General features: G+C 35.7%; 1 protein-coding gene and 1 pseudogene across 24 annotated transcripts in view; both read left to right on the top strand.

The window, feature by feature from the left end:
- The window catches only part of DCDC1 (doublecortin domain containing 1), a 506,137-nt gene that overhangs the window by 83,969 nt on the left and 398,338 nt on the right, over positions 1–23,830 (top strand). For 22 of the 24 annotated variants that reach the window (NR_170625.1, XR_002957144.2, XR_002957145.2 and 19 more), the window contains one exon: positions 20,171–20,264. The exons of 1 other annotated variant lie outside the window; for it this stretch is intronic. Coding sequence is in view for 20 of the 23 variants with exons in the window: in XM_024448476.2 (XP_024304244.1) it covers positions 20,171–20,264 (94 nt within the window). In the remaining 3 variants the exon portion in view is untranslated. Of the gene's footprint in view, positions 1–20,170; positions 20,265–22,697; positions 23,146–23,830 lie in introns of those variants that run through there. One more of the 24 variants, NM_181807.4, reaches the window with a different exon arrangement.
- Positions 4,723–5,401, top strand: CYCSP25 (CYCS pseudogene 25; annotated as a pseudogene).

The following is a 23,830-nucleotide window of genomic DNA, read 5'->3' as shown; positions in this document are numbered from 1 at the left end:
CTGAAAAAACATGTAAGTATTGAGGGAATTACTCCTATATGGATGTCAAGGTATAAAAAAGCAATAGACTTTATCAGATGCCTTTAAGCCATGAGAAATATATATTTCTATGATGTTTACCATTTATTAATAAAAAAACTTAATAAGCTTAAACAAAAAATTAAGAAAATTTTCAAGCTTAAGAAAGGCCCAATTCAATTGAAATAACACAATATAATGGTACGATTGCAGAATGTTCACACATAAATTAGTAACTATGGCAGCAGAGATTTTCCCAATAGTGTGGGTAAAATAATTTAGAGAGTATCTTAAGAGATTCAAAAAGGAGAACCTGGGGTAGCAAAATTTGATTAAGGATGCTCAACATGGATTCCGACAGAGGAGGTCATGCATAATTAGTATGTTGGAACTTCTTTAAAGAGCTTTTTATGAAATATGAAGAAAAGTCCATTGATATTACTTGTTATTTAAAAATTAGGCTAGTTTTTTAAATCAGAGATTAATATCTGATTAAAAACACAAAAGAAGAGTTTTAAAAATATGGAATTTGATAATATGGTTTATTCTTAAGATTCTATGAATAGCCAGTTGCCTTTTCATTATTTAATGTGAATTTCTATATATAATTGAGTTATTTTAGAATATTATAAGTAATTATTTATAGTCAGAATTTTTTTAAAAATGAAATTCTAAAAAAAGCAAAAAGAAAAAAGAATGTATTTAATGGAAATAAAAACAAATGAGAATTATCAGTCTAAAGATTCATTTACTTTACTGATGGTAGTTAAGGATAGTCCTTAATATTATTTAGGAGCAGTTAAGACATTAACATGGCCGGGCATGGTGGCTTATGCCTATAATTCCAGCACCTTGGGAGGCCAAGGTGGGCAGATCACCTAAGGTCAGGAGTTCGAGACCAGCCTGGCCAACATGGTGAAACCCTGTCTCTACTAAAAATACAAAAATTAGCTGGGCATGGTGGTGGGTGCCTGTAATCCAAGCTACTTGGGAGGCTGAGGCAGGAGAATTGCTTGAACCTTAGAGGCAGAGGCTGCAGTGAGCCAAGATCGTGCCACTGCACTCCAGACTGGGTGACAGAGCAAGACTCCATTTAAAAAAAAAAAAGACATAAACATGATATTAAATTTGAAAGTTAAAATGTATTTCTGTGTTTTTTATTAAAATTATTTTATAGTTTTTATATGTACATTTTATATTTTAACATATTTTAATTGTTAAGAACATATAACAATAATGGTTACCTTGAAGCATTTATTAGATTAGTGTCCATGCATACCTTACCATTAAAGAATCTTTGATGAACTTTATCGAGTTTCTGGACATTAGAATCACAGGATTTTATGAAGTCTTCTAGTCAAGCTACTCAAAAAACTGAAACTTAGACAAGCTGACTGCCATATCCAAAGTGGATCAAGTGAAATAGCTAGTACTATAACCCATTTTCTGATGTTTAAGAGCAATATTATTTATTATTCAAAACTTCTCTTAATATTACTTTTTCTTAAATTTTAATTCCTAATGTGTCCTGTCTTAAAAATAATTTAACATAACCATTATTTCCTACTTGGAGTAATTAGTATCAGACTGGCCATTCCATTCTATACAACTGAAAAACTGGACAAAATATGTGACAACAATTTTTAGGTATTAGACAACAGGAAGCATCAGCTGTAATGCCTAAGAGAAGGGGAAAAGTTGAAGTGAGTCCTAAAGTTCACTATGTCTTTGTACCTGGAGGCAATTTATGGATCGTAGTAGAGAGAGAGAGAGAGAGAGAGGGAGGGAAAGAGTGAGAGAGAGAGAAGAGAGAATCTGAGAAAAGCACAGTGTTTCCCATAAACTGAAGAGAAAGACATCAAAGTTCTAGGTAGCTGAAATTTGCAGGGCAATACCATAAGAGGGAGCTATTTGTAGAATAGTTCTCAAATTTTGTGTAAGCATCCCCTCATGTCTTTGGCTGACTATTAAGTTGCTTATGCATAGGGTGAACTCCACAAGGTCTGACACAAACAACTGCCAGGAAAAGAACAGCTAATTAGGATGTAAAAGGGAAACAAGTATGGGAGTATGTGCAGGGTAAGGAGACATTTGCATTTTGACCAGTTGGAGAGGAGAGGTCTTGTTGAGCTTGTTAAACAAATTCATGAAGATTCCAGTAAAGATAATTTATATCCAGAAGAAAAGTTGATCAATAGAAACAGACCCCAAAATAGAGTTAACAGAAAAAGACATTTAAACAGTGATTATAAATATGTTCACGTATTAAAAAAAAACATGAATATAATGCGAAGAGAACTGGAAACTTAAAATAGAACCAGTGGAACTTCTAGTTCTAAAAATTACAATATCTTAACTGCAAAAAAAACAAAAAACAAAAAAAAAAACCTGGGTTTAACAGCAGGTTAGATATTAGAGAAGAAAAGATCCGTGAACTTCAAGACAGGGCAATGAAGCTATCCAAACTGCAGTGTAGAGAAGCAGAAGGAAAAGGCTGAAAGCAAGGACTGAGTGTCATTAACTTGTGGGATGATATCAGTGAGTCTAATAGACGTATAATTGGAGCCCTAGAAAGACTGAGAAGGCTGTGAATATTTGAAGTAATAATGGCCAGAATTTTTCCTGAGTTCTTGGTTCATGGAAAACAACCCACATATCTAAGAAGCTCAATGCACCTCTGGTAGAAAGATAACCAGATTAAGGACATAAATCACATTGCTGTAAGCAGTGATAAATAGAAAAGCTTAAAAGCAACCAGAGGGGAGGAAACACATTAATTACAGGGATACATATGTAAGAATAAAAGCTAACTTCTCTTTAGAAATAATGCAAGACAGAAGATAGCAGATATCTTTAAAGTGTAGAGAGAGATAATATGTTTAAAGCGCTGAAAGAAAAAACTGGTTATCTTATTATTTTATATTACATGAAAATATCTTTAAAAAAAATCTTCGAAATAAAAGCATTCTCAGGCAAACAGAATATGAAGCACATGTGTCCAGCAGACCTAAACTATAAGAAATATTAAAGGATATTTTTCACTGGAAGAAAATGATACCAGAAACAAATTTGGGTATGCACAAAGAAATTATTTTAAATGTACCTGGTACATTCACTTTTATAGACCCTTTGCTGCTTATTGAGCCATTCCCAGTACATTTAAAAGGATTAAAATTATTTTAAGTATGTTTCCTGGCTGCAAAAGAATTAAATTAGAAATAAATAACCAAATATATCAGGTCACTCATTCTCCAGCTGTGGAGAGTTGTTTAATGTAGACATTAAACTCCCTTTCATGTATTTATCTTAATTGATTATATTTAAAATTATATATATTATCCTTTAATAGACATTATATATATTATCTTTGATAGACATTAAACTCCCTTTCATATATACACCTATCCTATTAATCTTGTCCTTCTAGATATAGAACTCTAATACAACATAAATTACCAAAACTGAGACAGAAGAAAATTTATATCTCAAAATCTCTCTATGTATTAAATAAATCAAATTTATAATTAAAAACTTTTCAAAAAACAAAATTCCAAGACCAAATGATCTCATTGTTGAATTTTATCAACCTTTCATGAGAAATAATATCAGTTGTACACAAACCTTTTAGAAAATAGAGAAAACAGGAAAACTTCCCCCTCACATGATGAGACTAGCATTATAAAGACATTACTAGAAAAGAAAATTCATACCAATATCCTCCTAATCATAGATGCAAAATTCCTTCAAAAAGTATTAACAAGTCAAATCCAACAATACATCATGATCAAGTGAGTTTTATCCCAGGAATGCAAAGTTGGTGTATTAGTCTGTTTTCATGCTGCTGATAAAGACATACCTGAGACTGGGCAATTTACAAAAGAAAGAGGTTTATTGGACTTACAGTTTCACATGACTGAGGAAGCCTCATAATCATGGTGGAAGGCAAACAGCACGTCTCACATGGTGGTGGCAAGAGGGAGAACGAAAGCCAAGCGAAACAGTTTCCCCTTATCAAACCATCAGGTCTTGTGAGACTTATTCACAACCACAAGAACAGTATGGGTGAAACTGCCCCCATGATTCAATTATCTCCCACTGTGTCCCTCCCACAAAACGGAATTATGGGAGTACAATTCAAGATGACATATGGGTGGGGACACAGAGCCAAACCATATCAGTTGGTTTAACAACAGACAATGTAGTTGACCACCTTAAGAGAATATGGAAAAAGCCATATGCTCATTTCAGTAGGTATTGGAGAGGAATTTGACAAAATTTAATATTCACTTATTAAAAAAACAAAAAAAAATTTTCATAGCAAACTTGAAATAGAAGGGAATTTCTTCAATCTGGTCAAGAATGTCTACTAAACACTGATTTAACTACATACCTAATGATGAAAGACTGAACTGTTTTCCTCAAGATCAGAATCAAGGCAAAGATGTCCTCTCTTTTCATTTCAGCTTAACATGCTATTGGGGGCCCTACCCTGTGATAAGGCAAGAAAAAAGTAGTAAAAAGGGTATAAATTTGAAAGGAAGAAATAAAAACTATTTTATTTATAGACAATGTGATAAGAACATCAAATACCTTAAAGAACCTACATAAAAGCTAGTAGAACTAAGGAATACATTCAGCAAGTTTGCAGGATACAAGGTCAGTGAAATTCTATATGCTAGTGACAATTAGAAAGTGAAATTTAAGGAGAATGGGACGTCTAGCTTCAGAGCGGGAACCTTCGTTGTGACGAAAAAGGGAATTAAATATGGGTGATGTTGAGAAAGGCAAGAAGAGTTTTTGTTCAAAAGTGTGCCCAGTGCCACACCGTGGAAAAGGGAGGCAAGCACAAGACTGGGCCTAATCTCCATGGTCTCTTCGGGCAGAAGACAGGTCAGGCCATTGTATTCACTTACACAGATGCCAATAAGAACAAAGGCATCACCTGGGGAGAGGATACACTGATGGAGTATTTGGAGAGTCCCAAGAAGTACATCCCTAGAATAAAAATGATCTTTGCCGGCATTAAGAAGAAGGCAGAAAGGGCAGACTTGTTAGCTTGTCTTAAAAAAGCTACTAAATGAGTAATAATTTGCCACTGCCTTATTTATTACAAAACAGAAATGTCTCATGACTTTTTTATGTATACCATACTTTAATAGATTTCATACACCAGAATTCAGGTCATGAATGACTGACAGAATATTTTGTTGGGCAGTCCTGATTTAAAACTAAGACTAGCTTCTGGTTAAATGAATATGTTCAGTTTTTGAATTTTAATAGTAATTCGAATTCAGTAAATGCTATCACTGTTTACCCCTTCTAAAGCTATGATTAGACTTCATTAATAATTTTCACCTTTTCACAAAGATGGTGAATGCCATCTTAAAACTTACTGGTGATTGGTTTTATATTTAGATGTATGTAACTGGTTATGTGAATATATTTAAATACTGGGGAAATTCCTTCACTGTCTCAGAACCAAGCAAGATTCACCTGTGTTTTGTGTTCATTTGCCTCTTAAAGGCAAGGGTTGAAGATAAATAAGGTAGCAACGTCTACTTTATATTTTTGGCCCTAACTATGCCAATCTAATTAGAATTCCCTGTATTTAAAATGGTTCCTTTTACTTACTGAAAGGAATTTTAGTGTGGTTTATGTGTAATATCAAAGGTTATTTAACACTTCTCACATTTTATAGATGATCTATGAGGTCATATGCTTTTAAAATAGCAAGTTTTTTTATGTTTAAATTGAGTTTATTTTAGGCAGGCAAAATTGATTTAATGTTTGAGAAATAATTTTATGTAATTCCTATTACAGAATAAAAAATTACAGATAATCTTTTATTATTATTATTATTTTAATTTATTATACTTTAAGTTCTGGGATACATGTGCAGAACGTTCAGGTTTGTTACTTAGGTATACACGTGCCATGGTGGTTTGCTGCACCCATCAAACTGTCATCTACATTAGGTATTTCTCCTGATGTTATCCCTCGCCTAGCCCCCCACCCCCTGACAGGCTGTGGTGTGTGATGTTCCCCTCCCTGTGTCCATGTGTTCCCATTGTTCAGCTCTCACCTATGAGTGAGAACATGTGGTGTTTGGTTTTCTGTTCTTGTGTTAGTTTTCTGAGAATGATGGTTTCATCCATGTCCCTGCAAAGGACATGAACTCATCCTTTTTTTATGGCTGCATAGTGTTCCATGGTGTATATGTGCCACATTTTCTCTATCCAGTCTATCATTGATGAGCATTTGAGTTGGCTTCAAGTCTTCGCCATTGTGAACAGTGCCACAATAAACATACGTGTGCATGTGTCTTATAAACTTCACTCTTGAACTCTTTACAATCTAAGTCAAACTAAGTAATAATTTAGGATTGTCTTTAAACAGCCATTCAGAAACATAAAACTGTAGAACTGCTGTGTATTTGTGATCGGGAATAGTGCTTTTGCCAACTTAAAAGGATTAAAATAGAGGAGATATACACACACACACACACAAAAAAAAGAAAATGAAATGTAAAAATCCAATACCACAACACTCAAACACATGAAATACTTAACTATTCATTTAACACAATATGTGCAAGACTTATACAGTGAAAACAACAAATAATTGCTGAGAGAAATGAAAGAAGGTCCAAGAGATATACCATGTTCATGGACTGGAAACTTCAAAATTATTATGATGCCAGTTTCCTGCAAATTGATCTATATAGTCATCACAATACTCACCAAAATTCAACCAGTCTTTTCTTTGAGGAAAGGGGCATAAATTGGCAAGATATTTCTAAAATATACGTGGAAATGCTAGAAATGCAAAGGAATTAGATAGCCAAATCAGTTTTAAACAGGAGCAAATTTGGAGGATTTATACTACCTGATTTCTTTTAAAAAGTTGTATTTTAGTATGTATTTATTATTATTGTTATTTATTTTTTAAATTGACAAATAAAAATTTTATGTATTTATGGTATACTACATGATGATTTGAAATATGCCTACATTGTGGAATGGAGAAACCAAGCTGATTAACAGTTGAATTACTTTAGATACTTATCATTTTTTTGTCATAAAAATACATAAAATCTGCTTTCTTAGCAATTTTCAAGTGTATAATATACTGTTATTAACTATAGTCACCATGATATACAATCATTCTCTTGAACTTATACCTCCTGTCTGACTGAAATTTTGTGTACTTTAGCCAATATCTTCCCAGTCCTCCCACTCCCACTGCAGTCTCCTGTAATCACCATTCTACTCTCTGCTTCTGTGAGTTTGACTTTTTTTGTTTTCACATATAAGTGAAATCATGTGGTATTTGTGTTTCTGTGCCTGGCTTATTTCACTTAACATAATGCCCTCCAGGTTCATCCATGTTGCTGCAAATGACAAGAGTTTCTCCTTTTTAAAGGAGGAATAGTATTCCATTTACACTACCTGTTTTCAACATCTATTATAAAGCTAAAATAATCAAAACAGGATGATATGGGAATAAGAATACACATAAAGGGCAAAGAAACAAAATGGAGAGTTCAGAAATAGACCCACACATACATGGGTAAATCATTCTTGATAGAGTGATTCAATGGGGGAAAAGACAGTGTTTTTGATAAATATTGCTGAAACAATTGGATATTTCTGTGTGATAAGAACTTACCTCACAATCATTCATGAAAATTGATTTAAATTGATCACAGATCTTATTATAAAGAACAAAACTATACTAATTCTCAGAGAAAACGTGGGAGAAAATCTTTTTAACCTTGGGTAGGCAAATATTTCTTAGGACACAAAAAATATGAACAAAAAATGATTATACTTTGTCTGAATCAAAAAACTTTTGCTCTTGTAAATACAGCATTATAAAAATGAAAAGGCAAGCCACAGAATGAGAGAAAATATCCAGAAAACACGTACTTAACAAAAAACTTTGGTTGAGAATATATAAACATTTCTGAAACCTCAACAGTAAGAAAACAAACAATACAAAAATAAGTCAAAAGATGTGAATGAGGCATTTTACTAAGAAGACATAGAAATCAACCATTAGCACATGAAAAGATGCTCAGTATTATTAATCATCGAGGAAATGCAATTAAATCCATGGAGTTACCACTATACACACATTAAAATGACTAATATTTAAAAGACTGACAATACCAAGTAGGTGAAAATGTGGAGAAATAGCAAATCTTATATTTAGCTGATAAGAATGCAAAATGACGCAGCCACTTGGCAAAACAGTTTGATACTTTCATATAAAGTTAAGCTTACACTTAAATACAATCCTGCAATCTCATTTTTAGATATATACCAAGATAAATAACATATGTCAACACAAAAACTTCTAAGTGAATGTTCATAGTTGTTTTATTTGCAATTAGCCAAATTACAGACAGTAAAAAAGTCCATATACCTGTGAATGGATAAAACATTATTATATATTTATGTCAAGGACTATTTTTCAACAATAAAAAGGAACGAGCATTGTGGTAAATGAATGAAACCAGGTACAAAATATTACATGCCATGAAATTGTAGAACAGACGAACTATTCTCTAGTGAAAAAAACCAGATTATTGGTGACTTAGGGCCAGGAGTATTGAGTTGTAATTGGAAAAGAACATGAGGAATTTTGGAAGGTGGTGGGAATATTCTATATATTCACTGTGGTAGTTACATACGGATATACATTGTTCTACCTGCATCAACTGCACCTACTTAAAATAGGTACAGTTTATTTCATGTACATTATAAATCAACAGAGTAGATTTTAAAAACAAAAATAATAATATGATTAGAATTGTAATCTGGTTCATTTAATTATTCTTAAGAAAATTTCCTCTGGTTATCTACTTCTCATTCACATTCTAAAAATAAAATACCAAAACACCACAGAACACAAATTCACGAGAAATAGCTGCCTTTTCAAATCATATTTATGTTCATTACTAGTGCAAGCAAATAACTAGATTTGGTGTACATTCTTTCACTTACCTTTATGAGAATAAGACAAATAACAGGCCAGCATATTTAGCTCTAGGATTTTATTCAGAAAAGTACCTTTAAGGTACTTAATGAGATGGGTACAAATTTAGCCCAATCTTCTGGCATTTTCTGGTTAACATAATGATAATAATTTTGATTATAAGTCATTTTTGTAAAATGCTGGCCTGAGCAGAGACTTATGCATGGCATTTTATTACATTTTAATTCTTGGAAAATTCATAAACTATTTGACAGCCTTTCAGTTAGCAAAAAAAAAAATTCTATAAAAACAGATTCCCTTTCTCAAAATAATCATAATAAATGGTAGTTCTCTTCTACTGAGCAAGTACAATTAATTGCCAAAGGTGAAGTATTTTTAGTAATCCAAATGATTAGTTTCACAATTATCCATTCATTTTCATAATTTTCAGCTTGATAAATTTCATCTAAAATTATTCCCTAGATTTTTAATTAAATGGTTTGCTTTTTAGGTTTATATAGTGAATACTGTTGTAATCTATTTGGTATACAAATACTCACTGAATTAGCTGAATAGATTTTCATCATTTGAGGAACATGGGACCAAAAAATGTATTTTTCTGTCAGTTAGGATGACATTAGCTGCAAATAACAGATTCCTGATTCAAACAGACTTAAGCAAAAAGGAAGGAAGAAATCCAGAGGTAGGGCAGCACCAACCATAGTATGACAGAATTCCAGCTGTGATTGCTACAGTTTTCTGGAGTTTGTACTCTTTCATATGTTGGTAACAAGATGGCTGCACAGCCAGGTATAACTATATACAGAGGCACAAAAGGACCATCTCGTCTCTATGAATGATTAGCCTTTCCCAGAAGCCCCTGCTTATGTCTCATTGGCCAGAACTGGGTTATGTGTCTATCTTAAGCCATTCACTGACAAGGGGCGTGAGACTACAATAGGTAATTTAGACACATCAAGATAATTGTAGACTGGGCACAGTGGCTCTTTGGGAGGCCAAGGAAGGCGGAACACCTGAGGTCAAGAGTTCAAGACCAGCCTGACCAACATGGAGAAACCCTGTCTCTACTAAAAATACAAAATTAGCCAGGCGTAGTGGTGCACACCTGTAATCCCAGCTATTCGGGAGGCTGAGGCAGGAGAATCACTTGAACCCGGGAGGCAGAGGTTGCAGTGAGCCGAGATCAAGCCATTGCACTCCAGCCTAGGCAACAAGAGCGAAACTCTGTCTCAAAAAAACAGAAAAGCAAACAACAACAACAACGACGACAGAAAGATAATTGTAGTCTTCCTTGAGTCAAAAGGGAAAAGAGTGTATACCTAAACAAAATCAGTATAGTAAGGATGAGGATGGAGAATGGATATTGGATAGGCAGCCAACAGTGTTACTACACATGTGAAGAGGTTTTCTTATTTTATTTCCTAGGACTTGCAAAAAGTCAGTGCTCTGGTACTAAAAAGAATTGGTTTATTTGAAAAAAATTCTTCTGGAATTATGCATACTTTACAGCATAATTTTATAAAAGCAGTCAGAATTTTTTGCTAGCTTATCAGAATCTTGATCAAAAGATATTTATACTAAAATGAGTTTAAATTAGAAATAATATATATTAACTCTTTTATTCATTAATTCAAAATATTTTTTGACTACTAATGTCTGCCAAGTACCTGGATATGGTGGTGAGCAAAACCAACCATGGCCTTGTTCTCATGGAACTTTTAGTCTAGTGGTGGACAAAGAGATTTGTAAAATAAAGACGGGTGTGGTGGCTCACACCTGTAATCCCAGCACTTTGGGAGGCTTAAGCAGGCAGATCATGAGGTCAGGAGTTCAAGACCAGCCTGGCAAACATAGTGAAACCCTATCTCTACTAAAAATACAAAAATTAGCTTAGCATGGTGGCATGTGCCTTTAGTCCCAGCTACTCGGGAGACTGAGGCAGGAGAATCACTTGAACCTGGGAGGCAGATGTTTCAGTGAGCAGAGACCATGCCATTGCACTCCAGCCTGGCTGACAGAGTGAGACTCTGTCTCGGAAAAAAAAAAAAAAAAAGACATTTGTGAAATGATCATATCATTAAATGTGTGTGGAGTAGGTGGCATAAGGAAGGCTTCTTTCCTTTCCTATGAGGCTACTCTCCCCTTTCATATGCTGACCTTTCGATTCCTGGAATACATCCTGCTTGCTCTGCCATGGAGCCTTTTCATATGCTATGTTCTCTGAAATAGTTCCCCACTCTCAATATTCTCCACTTGTTTCCAGATAAATCCAGTTTATCTCTTCTCAGAAGCCTTCCTTATGCCACCTACTCCACATGTAATGATATGATCATTTTATAAATGTCTTTATCCAGCACTAGACTAAAAGCTCCATGAGAACAAGAACCTGGCTGGTTTTGCTCACTGCCATATCCAGGCACTTGGGAGATATTAGTAGTCAATAATATTTTGAATTGATGAATAAAAGAAACATATCAATTTGGGAGTTGTCGGTATGTAAATGGAAGATGAAATGTTGGGGTACCATTTAGATTGCCTTAAGAGAGGGGCAGAAAGAAGGCTAGAACTTATCTTGATAAACCCCAGTGAATGAATATGCATGATCCTATGAAGAAGACAAGAAAGCAGGAGAAAAAATAGTGGATTCTTGTATCTCAGGATTTGTTCATGCTTGATATGGTTTGGTTGTGTCCCCACCCAAATCTCATCTTTAATTCCCACATGTTGTGGGAGGCACCCAGGTGGGAGGTAATTGAGTCATGGGGATGGGTCTTTCACATGCTGTTCTCATGATAGTTAGTCTCATGCGATCTGATGGTTTTATAAGGAGGAGTTTCCCTGCACAAGCTCTCTCTCTGCTTGCTGCCATCCATGTAAGACATGACTTGCTCCGATTTGCCTTCTACCATGAGTGTGAAGCCTCCCCAGCCATGTGGAACTGTAAGTCCACTAAACCTCTTTCTTTTATAAATTGCCCATTCTTGGGTATGTCTTTCTCAGCAGTGTGAAATGGACTAATACAGTAAATTGGTACCAAGAGTGGGGTGCTGCTGTAGATACCTGAAAATGTGGAAGCGACTTTCGAACTGAGTAACAGTTAGAGGTTGGAACAGTTTGGAGAGCTCAAAAGAAGATAGGACAAAATTGGAAAGTTTGGAGCTCCCTAGAGACTTGTTGAATGGCTTTGACCAAAATGCTGATACTGATATGGACAATGAAGTCCAGGCTGAGGTGGTCTTAAATGGAGATAAGGAACTTGTTGGGAACTGGAGCAAAGGTGACTTGTTATATTTTAGCAAAGAGACTTGTGGTATGTTGCCCCTGCCCTAGAGATTTGTGGAACTTTGAAATTGAGAGAGATGATTTAGGGTATCTGGTGGAAGAAACTTCTAAGCAGCAAAGCATTCAAGATGTGACTTGGGTACCGTTAAAGGCATTCAGTTTTATAAAGGAAGCAGAGCATAAAAGTTTGGAAAATTTACAGCCTAACAATTCAATAGAAAATAAAATCCCATTTTCTGAGGAGAAATTCAAGCTGGCTGCAGAAATTTGTATAAATAATGAGGAGCTGAATGTTAATCCCCAAGACAATGGGGAAAGTGTCTCCAGGGCATGTCAGAAGTCTTCACAGCAATGCCCCCCATCACAAGCCTGGAGGCCTAGGAGGAAAAAATGGTTCGTGGGCCGGGCCCAGGGTCCCATACTACATTGCAGTCTAGGGACTTGGTGCCCTGCATCCCAGCTGCTCCAGCCGTGGCTGAAAGGGGCCAATGTAGAGTTCAGGCCATGGCTTCAGAGGGTGCAAGCCCCAAGCCTTGGCAGCTTGTGAGTCCCTACACAGAGTTCCTACTGGGGCACTGCCTAGTGGACCTGTAAGAAGAGGACCACCATCCTCTAGACCTCAAAATGGTAGATCCACTGACAACTTGCACCATGCATCTGGAAATGCTTCAGACATTCAACACCAGCCCATGAAAGCAGCGGCTGTGCCCTGCAAAGCCGCAGGAGTAGAACTGCCCAAGACCATGGGAACCCCCTTCTTGCGTCAGCATGACCTGTATGTGAGACATGGAGTCAAAGGAGATCATTTTGGAGTTTTAAGATTTGACCACCCTGTTGGATTTTAGACTTGCATGGGGCCTGTAGCCCATTTGTTTTCTCCAGTTTCTCCCATTTGGAACAACTGTATTTATCCAATGCCTGTACCCCCATTTTATCTAGAGAGTAATTAACTTGCTTTTTATTTTAATTTACTGGCTCATAGGTGGAAGGGACTTTCTTTGTCTCAGATGAAACTTTGGACTGTGGACTTTTGAGTTAATGCTAAAATGAATTAAGACTTTGAGGGACTGTCGGGAAGGCATGATTGGTTTCAAAATGTGAGGACATGAGATTTGGGAGGGGTCATGAGATTTGAGAAGTGAAATGATATGGTTTGGCTATGTCCCTACCCAAATCTCATATTGAATTTCCATATGTTGTGGGAGGGACCTGATGGGAGGTAATTGAGTCATGGTGGCAGGTCTTTCCCGTGCTGTTCTTGTGATAGTGAAAACGTCTTATCAGCTCTGGTGGTTTTTTTTTTTTTTTTTAGATGGAGTCTCACCCTGCCAACCAGGCTGGAGTGCAATGGCACGATCTCGGCTCACTGCAGCCTCCGCCTGCTGGGTTCAAGTGATTCTCCCGCCTCAGCCTCCTGAGTAGCTGGGATTACAGGTGCCCGCCACCACACCCAGCTAATTTTTGTATTTTTAGTAGAGATGGGGAATCAACCATGTTGGCCAGGCTGGTCTCAAACTCCTGACCTCGTGATCTGCCCTCCTTGGCCTCCCAAAATGCTGGGATTACAGGCATGAGCTACCATGCCTGGCCTGAGGTCTGATCGTTTTATAAGGAGAAGTTTCCCTGCAGAAGCTCTCTCTCTGCCTGCTGCCATCCATGTAAGATGTGACTTGCTCCTCCTTGCCTTCCACCATTATTGTGAGGCCTCTCCAGCCATGTGGGATGGTAAGTCCACTAAACCTCTTTCTTTTGTAAATTGCCCAGTCTTGGGTATGTCTTTATCAGCAGCATGATAATGGACTAATACAATGCTCAAAACAAGTAAGAATTTTAAAATGTCCTTTGAATTTGTCAATAGAGTAGTAATTGGTAATCATTGTGAGAATTATTTCAGTAAAGTGATGGTAAAAAAGCCAAACTGGAACAGGCTGAGAATGAATGGGAAGAAAGGAAAAGAAACAAGAGAGCATGGACAAATCTAAGACATTTAGCTGTAAAGTTGAGGAGTAGCTAGAGGGAGATATCAGGTAGGTATGGGGAGATTTAATTTTCAAGATAGAAAAGACTTACGTTTCAATATCAGTGGTAACAGGCTAGTTGAGAAGCAGTAGATGAATATACATGAGAGAGAAGAAATGATGGATAATACAAACTGCTTTAAAAGCTGAGAGCATACATAATTGAAAGGATAAGTGGAATATTGGCCTTAGATAGGAGCAGGAACTCTTGTAATATAACTGGAAGGAAAAAGAGTGGATGGCTGTAGAAATAAGTAGGCTTGTAGCTTTGATAGCAGTAAGATGAGGCTTCAAATTTCTCTCTGACATAGGAGATCATGTCATCTGCTGAAAATGAAGAGGCAATTAGGGAAGGAAAGGCTAGGTAGAGGTAAGCAGATTAGAGATGGTTGGAAATACTCTGTGGAAAGTGGGAGAGAAATTTGACCAAAGAAATGAAATAGAAGTGGCTGGGCAGTACTGAGGGACTATGGAAGTTGGTGATCATGAATGATAGTAATGTTGATATGTTCAGTTGTGTGACTTTGTCCAGCAGCACCAGGCCTCTCATTGTGCCCACAGAGTGGAAAGTGAAGGTCGCCCAGAGTTAGGATTTTGCAAGCTATGTGTAGTAAAAGTTATCTAAGATTGAGGAAGAATGACTAGAGTTAGAGAAGATGATATGCTTGAACATCAAGATCCTGGGTGTTGGGGACAGCGCTTGTTTGTTTTTGTTCAATAAGAGGGTTGGGGAGAAATTATCTTGAAATAGCATTGTAACACCACTTTCCAAACTTGAGATTGTGTGATAGGAGAGAATAAATTCTCACCACTTGAGAGCGCTTTGAAGAAGTTAGTGACCTCAGGGGAAAGCCTAGTTTCTTTTAAAAGAGGTTGTGGGTCTAGTCAAATTTGTTGATCAGGGGAGATGTTTTCAGAGTACACAATGGAAGAGTTTTAGAAATGAATAAAGGAGTTCAGGCTAATTTATACAGAACAGAAAAATATAGAGCTTCATGTGAATGTTGATGCAAACTTTTTCCATAAAAGGCAAACAAAATAATTTTGGTTTTGCAAGCCAGAAGGTCTCTGTAGCAACTATCTCAGCCTTGCTGTTATAGCATGAAAGCAGCCATAGAAGATATGTAAATGATCAAATGTGGCTGTTTTACAAGAAACTTTATGTACAGTACTTAAATTTGAATTTCATGTTTAAATCTATCACAAAGTATGATTCATCTTTTGATTTCTGTTTTAGGAATTCAAAATGTACAAGCCATTCTTAGCCTATAGGCCACACAGAAACAGGCTATGGACTGGGATTGGCCTTTGGACTGTAGTTTGCTAACTCCTACAGTAGAGAATCTTTTGAGGAGAGTGTGTTGGGGAAGTGTAAGTTGGGGCTTATGCTTCCAGGCATTAACTCATAGAACCATATTAAAAGGTTTCAAGGTTCTCTGTCTGAGGAGAACTGACATTTTTGGGTCTGATGGCTTATTAACCTGGTTCATATGACCTACGGTGATGTTGGCCTAAGTATACTCTCTCATCTGAACTGAAGTAGTGGCAACCCAGAGGTTCTGGCCATTCCAGGAGCTGCAAACTCTATAATAGATATGTCTGGATGTGGAGATGACTCCCAGATCTGTAAACAAGTAGATTAAACTGAAAACATTGTGGAATATTTTTTCCCAGGTGCTTTTCAAGAAGATTCTGGTTTTACAGCATGATGATTTAAAATTTTAGTATCAGAAGAGTTTCTAAAACTTGAGCTGCATGGAATTAACAGGCCAGGTGCAGTGGTTCATGTCTGTAATCCCAGCACTTAGGGAGGCTGAGGCAGGAGGATCAGTTGAGACCAGGGGTCTTGAGACCAGCCTGGGCAACATAGCTAGGCCCCATCTCTACAAAAATTAAAAAATTAGCTGGGTGTCATATGGTACACCTGTTGTCTCACCTGCTTGGAAGGCTGAAGACCTAGTAGGATTGCCTGAGCCTGGGAAGTTGAGGATGCAATGAGGTGTGATCATGCCACTGCACTCCAGCCTGGGTGACAGAGCAAGACTCTGTCTCAAAAAGAAAAAAAAAAGGAATTAACAAAATGTGAATGTGTAAAAGTAATATTTTAACAAGCTTAACAGGTACAGATTAGTGGAAATGCTATTTTAATTAACCTTAATATTACAGCAAGATGACACCATAATGTACTTTTCAATTGTAAATTATAAGAATGACCTTACAAGTAGAAGCTTCATTTCAGGGCTTTTGACAGAAACTTATAGTGCTACTAATTCATACCACTGATAATTTACTCCGAGAAAATGATTACTGAAGGCTGGCATTGCTTAAACACTGCAAAGATTTTTCATTCTTCAAGTAGGAAGGAATGACAGAGTTGCTCATACATTATTAAATGTTAGTGTTTGATTTTCTAATGCCAGTTTTAAAACTCATTTAACTTTTAAAACTTGCACAAAGGTTTGGTTTGCACAGACATTTTTACTGATGTTTTAGCTCAATGAAAAGGGGAATCTTTGAGTTAGAAAGTGTTGTAACCAGTCAGAATGTCTATTATGAAAAAGTCAAAAAGACAACAGATATTGGCAAGGCTGTGGAGAAAAGGAACGCTTATACACTGTTGGTAAGAATGTAAATTAGTTCAGCTACTGTGGAAAGCAGTAAGGAGTTTTCTCAAAGAACTCAGAACTACCATTTGACCCAGCAATCCCATTACTGGTTATATATATCCAAAAGAAAAATCATTCTGCCAAAATGACGCATGCACTCGTGTGTTCATCACAGCACTGTTCTGAATAGCAAAGATATGGAATCAAGCTAGGTGCCCATCAGCAGTGGATTGGATAAAGAAAATGTGGTACATATGCACCATGGAATACTATGCAGCCATAAAAAAGAATGAAAGTATGTCCTTTGCAGCCACATGGATGCAGCTGGACGCCCATTATCCTAAGCAAATTAATGCAGGAACAGAAAACCAAATACCACATGTTCTCACTTATAAGTGGGATCTAAACATTGGGTACTCATGGACATAAAGATGGCAACAGCAGACACTGTGAACTCCTACAGCGGGAGGGAAGGAGGGACTGATTTTTTTAAGACTCAAAGGCAGCAATATTTAAAATAATTTTTTTAAATTACTGAAATTTTGGTTGAAGTAAATGGGACTACCTTCAAGTAGATTATAGTTTTACTTAGTTTAATTGGTAAATTGTAACTTTAGAGGATACTTAGATATTTGAACCTTCACTCATAACTAGGAAATATAAATTGTACCGAAGGACATCATTATACTTTTAAATACAGTAATAACTTCATAATATTAAGAAATTGAGAACTGAACATGAGGACTGGAAAGATAAGTAATGTGGGGTTGTAAAGAGGAGATTATGTCTTGCTTACAGTCTATGAGACCAACTGTAGATGCTTAATAGTATTCAGACATGATTGGCTAAGGAGCAATTTGTACTGAATTATCTCCCTTGAGTATTTTTGTCAATGAGAGTGGTGGTGAAAGTGATCCATTTTACTTTCACTCCAGTGACAGGAGAATTTTGCCAGTCAGACACCAACTGTGTTAATTAGAGTATTAAAATAAAAACAAGCATGGATCCCATGCCAATGTCAGTCAATATGTTCCACTCTTCTTTTTGTTTCAAGCCACAGACAAACTCCAGTTTATTTTCCTGATACTTTTTTATATTTTCAACATTGCTTTCCCAGCATCTTTAGTAAAGGTTTCAGTCCATGGGATGGGGGTCCTAGGTGAACTTGTGGGCAGTAGTCACTGAAGAAATTGACCCACAAGAGTAAACAAGAAGGCAGGAAGAATAACCAGGGTTATTTAGAGAATCACCAGGGTTGTTACATTCTTTGCAAGTACTTTTTTATTTAACTAGGTAAAGCATTGATGTTGCGAATGATCTTTTCCTCATAAGTTAGAAAGCTCAAGAATATTCCTGGCTGGGCGTGATGGCTCACGCCTCTAATCCTAGCAATTTGGGAGGCTGAGGCAGGTGGATCACTTGAGGTTGGGAGTTCGAGAGCAGCCTGATCAACATGGAGAAACCCCGTCTCTACTAAAAATACAAAAAATTAGCCGGGCGTGGTGGCGCATGCCTGTAATCCCAGCTACCTGGGAGGCTGAGGCAGGAGAATCACTTGAACCCGGGAGACGGAGGTTGCGGTGAGCTGAGATCGTACCACTGCACTCAAGCCTGGGCGACCAGAGTGACACTACATCTCAAAAAAAAAAAAAATTCCTATAACATTATTCCTAATAATGAGCAGGTATGCATTCTTGATTGTGAGAAAAATAGCAGCAATACATTGCTCTGAATTGCTCAATGCTCTGAATTGCAGCTAGTGTGCAAGAAACATGCAACCCTTTGAATGGTCATGGGAGCATGTGGTCCATGGGGACATGATTAGTTATGTATAGGAGTAGAGTAGAATAAAGGCTGAGAACCTCTGGTACATACAGCCCAAGAAAGACCAATTTGTCAAATTAATTTGTCAGTTAAATATTTGCCTTTAAAATTCAACCTGTCTTTTGATAGAGCAACTATATAAACCAAATCAGTCACAATGTTTGAAAGCTGTTCTACAGGCTGAAAGGAAAGTGCAACTTTGCCTCTATATAAACACTAAGCTATTGAAATACATACATTGTCACAAAGCTAATGAATTGGTTAAGCTAGGACTAAATTATGGGCTCCAATAATAAAGTAGGGACAGAAGTGGGCAAAAAGAGACAGGTAGTATCGGCAACTGAAAGATGGTTTGAGCAGTTGAAAGATGTTCTGTTTACTATAATCATATTAATATAATTCACATTGTCCTTCAGTAGTAGTTCTTGGTTATGGGAAAGTAATATTATAGCTGGGAATAGTCAAAAATGGATGGCAGAGCACTTTCAATTTCAATTTGGAATATATTTTATATTTTTAGATGAATATGGTGAATTTCATGTTTTGGAAGTTACTTCTGAAAACCTATTAACAACCTGCCTCAGGTTACCTGACACTCCTCAAACCCCTTCTGTTCCCTTAATTTTCCTCACCTTGTGAGTAGAACTTTTTTTCCAGCTGAAGCATGTTTAAGTCTTCCTTGAAGTTGGAAAGATAATTGCCACATTGGTTTCAAAGGGTTGCATGTAAAATAACAAGAACAGGTCATGATATTGTAATATTAAAAGAGAGTGCATATTAGAAACCATTAAAGGTAAAGTCCTTGAGACTCATATTCATGGAAAACCTGAAATGTGATTTATTAAGTTCAGTTTTTAGTACCCAAACAACATAAGTTATCAAGGTGAACTGTGATCAGACTGTTTTTATTATTTATTTTAGGACATTTGGAAAACATTTAAAAGCTAAGGAAAGTAGGTACTTAAAATCTAATTTAAATGGTAATATCCTCTCATTGTGAAATAAATGGAACATACAGAAAGTTGCAAGACTAAGATAAAAATCCCTCAGAGTTCTAAAGGTCTACCATTTATTAAATAATAGATATTAAATAATAGATATTTAATAGATAATAGATAATAATAAATAATAGATAATAATAGATAAATAATAGATATTAAATAATAGATAACCAGTATTTAATATTTGTTGAATCTTCTTTCTTTCTTTTTTACTAATACTTACGTGTTTTTTTACACACATGCAAGTACAATGTAGCAATTTTAACTGCTTTTAAATTTCATATATTAGAACATTTTATAAATCATTAAATTTTATTTTACAATATAATTTTTAATAGCTGTGTAGTATAGAAAAGAGTTTAAATGTGTATTCAATTTAACCAGTTTACTAAATTATTTATAATTTTTTTTTCCTGCACAGGTTTTAGATACTTGTACAATAAGAATGAATCTAAATTTACCAGCCAGATATTTTTATGATTTGTATGGCAGAAAAATTGAAGATATTTCAAAAGGTAAGTGGCAAAGATTTTGTAAACCATTTGATAATATTTTGAAAGACATTTATATTTTGTTTTTACTTTAAACATTTAAAAGAAAAACATATAATAAAACATAGTTTAATTATAACTTGGATAAATATTCTTATACAAAGGAAAATCATGAAAGGACATTAAGATTTTAGGAATCTTTTATTTCAACACAAGTTTGGAGTTTTTAAAAAATTGATGGGTATTTTAACCTTAGTAAACCATAATTAAATAAAAGTAATTAATACATTTTTATAACGTAACAGCCAATTTATATAGGATACAGCTTTCCAAAAACAAAAATGAGAAATTGCATTACTGTATGATCAGATAGATGTTTTAAAACTGTTTTGGTCAACTTCTAGAGCTTATTCAAAAGTTATGAAATGTAACAAACATACCAAACTAAATGTAGTTCAGTTTGGAACCACTAGGAAGAACTCCAGTAACCCATTACTCTCTACTAAGTGTGTATATCAGCAGTATGCTGATAAATGTTATCAATTGGTCTGAAAAAAAAAGTCCCTGATTTGTAGCATTTAGCAACTTCATGGTATAGGTGCTCATACCATGGCCAATCTGAAGCTACTACTGAATGCAGAGTTCAGAGGGAAGGGTTTTAACTCACTGAATAAAGTATTTGGAGAAGAGATGAGAACAATTGGTTTTAGCAAACTGGTACAAGTTGGCTCCGGCACATCATTGTCCCTCAAAGTATGTATCCCTTGTCACAGAATTGACAGAGTAGGAATTAATTTGACAATAGAGAAATTCACTCACTAGGTTCTTGCATTTATCAACTCTACTACTAGGTAGTACTTATTCTGGACCAGGCACTATTCTAAGCTTATCACAAACATTAACTTATTTAGTTCTCAGAGAAACTGTAATTCCTATTTATTGCAGTAACTGAGGTACAGAGAAGTTAGGTAATTTGCTCAACATCACACAACTAGCAAGTGGTGGAGTTGGGATGCAAACCTTGGCAGGCTGGCTCCAGTAGCAGCGTTTAACCATTGTACTCTGTTCTCTCTCTCTCTTTCTGCCTCCCTCTCTCTTTCCACTTTACTGTCTCGTCTATGTCAGAACTCCATTTGTTTTCCTAGTACTTTCCATACAGGATGTAATTATTGTATTGCTTTGTTACTTTTTTGTATGTATGCACCCTTCCTACCAGGCTACAGGCTTCCTGGGAACAGGCACTCAATAAATAGTACTTGGATTTTTGAATGAATCCTATATCACTCTCCTACATGATCTGTTTCTACCACAATGTAACATAAAAGAGGGCAAGAAGAGACACTATCTTTGTTGTAATACCAGTAGTAAGCACAGTTCCTGGGACATAGCTGACACTCATAAATGTGGCATGAATGAATTAAACTATCTACTCTTGGACATTTAGTTGGTTCCACTGTTATACTATTAAAAGTAGCTCATCTTCAGGCAAGAAAAAAGTTATGAAATGTACTTTAAAGTAATTTCATTGTCTTTGTCAAAAGAGATTAGATATCCATCTAATATCTCTAGAGATACTGTTTTGTTTTGCTAGCCTCTGAAAAGAAATTCCACATTTGTGAGTTTAAATATGTTATTGAAATGGTCCTATAACTTCATCCAAACTTTAACTCCATGCTTGAGGAGGGCCAAGATATTAAATAACATGCCTTTAACTGCAAGGGTAGTGATTCCGACAACTGAAGTGATTTTGGGATGTTGCTACAGCAGATACTTCCATTTGTTTCCCATTTTCTCACTTGTACTATATAAAAGCAGACTCTTTCCTTGATTTATCATCCTTAATTAATACTTACTGAATGATAACTATGATAGTTTGATACTTATTGTTTCTAACTCAAATTTTTTGGCCAAGGATTACATATGTGTGTATTCAGAAAGTAAATTTGTTTTTCTTGGCCTTTTAAAAAATGTTTTTATTAGATATCATAACTATTTTTCATTTTATTACATGTTTTTATCTGAAGATTTCAAATCTCCTGTAGATACCTACCCATTATCTAGAAGGATTAGGTAAGGTTATTTACCTGTAAAACATGTAACACAAAGAATCCTTCCTTTTGTTCTTTGGGGTTAATAAGAGTGTCATTATTAATGTTGATTTCTTTCTTTCTTGCATTTTTGTCTCCTCTTCCATTACTCTGGCTAAGATTTTCTTTATGATCAACAATATTTTGAAATTGCTCTTAAACTTGCATTAATAAAAATAAACAACATATTTTCTTAATACCCTATCTAGACTTGAATTATTTCCAGTTCACCTGGAATTAAAACATCAGATTTGAATGAACTGCTAGAATTGAAACTATAAGGGATCTTCGTTAAGATGAAAGATTTATATTTAGAAAGTTTATTTTTCTCCTCCCAAATATGGTATAACAGAATTACTTATCAAAACAGGAAAGCACTGACTCTGAGACGTGATACTTCATGGATGCCAGAGGCATTCGGATTCATGACTCGTGCTTCACGTATCCCAGAAGTGTGCTATTATCACATTTTAATGCATGCCTTGCCCTCTGTTTTTGCATCCTTATAAAAGCTTATGCCAGCTGAAATTAGCCTGTGCAACCACTAACATGTGGAAGCATTACAAGTTCACTGGACTTAAAATATTTAAAGAAGCTAATCCTGTTGGAGGAACTTCCAGTCTGTAGCACCCTAGTCACTTAACATTAGGTTTTTGAACTTCTTTTTTCTTTGTTTCTATGATGTTGTGCATCAAATGATTGAGATCCCTAAACTTTTGTGTTGGATGGTTTTCTGAACTTCAACTTGGGAAAGGTCAAGTTTTATGTGAAAGTTATCTTTTAATTTAAACAAATAAATGCTGATACTCTTTTGATTCGATATGTGACTTTTTTTTCTTGCTTTGTATCAGATCAGAAAAAATCTTTTAAAAATGTCTAATGTTAAAATCATAGCAATTACTTTTTATTTATAAGCACAGATTAGAAGTGTAATTGTACCAAGGACTAAAAGCAACAGATACACAAAATAAAAATTTTCTCCTACCTATTGCTTCTTTTTTGGAATTAGATATACTTTTAAGTTTTCCTTCTATGCTATGAGAAATAAGCACATTTGATATAATATTAAACTACTTTTAGTTTGTCAAGTAAACCTTTGAAAAGACCAACAGGATTGGCAAATTGCTTATTTTTAGATTTTATTCTAAGCCATAGACAATTTTTTTTTTTTTTTCCTGAGACAAGGTCTTGCTCTGTTGCCCAGGCTGGAGTGCAGTGGTGCAACCACAGCTCATTGCAGCCTTGAGCTCCCAAGCTCAAGCAATCCTCCCACCTCAGCCTCTCCAGTAGCTGGGATTACAGGTGCAGGCCACTGTGCCTACTTTTTAAAATATTTTTGTAGAGATGGAGTCTCTCTCTGTTGGTTGCTCAGGCTGGTCTTGAACTTCTGTGTTCAAGCAATCCTCCTACCTTGGCCTCCCAAAGTGCTGGTATTACAGGCATGATCCACCAGCCTGGCTTTTTTTTTTCTCCAGTAATGAGAGAGTTTAATTTATGTGAGGC

Source organism: Homo sapiens, chromosome 11 (assembly GCF_000001405.40).
Source record: "Homo sapiens chromosome 11, GRCh38.p14 Primary Assembly".
Taxonomy (NCBI): Eukaryota; Metazoa; Chordata; class Mammalia; order Primates; family Hominidae; genus Homo; species Homo sapiens.
Note: the sequence above shows the minus strand (reverse complement) of the source record. Positions and strands in the feature narration are given on the sequence as shown.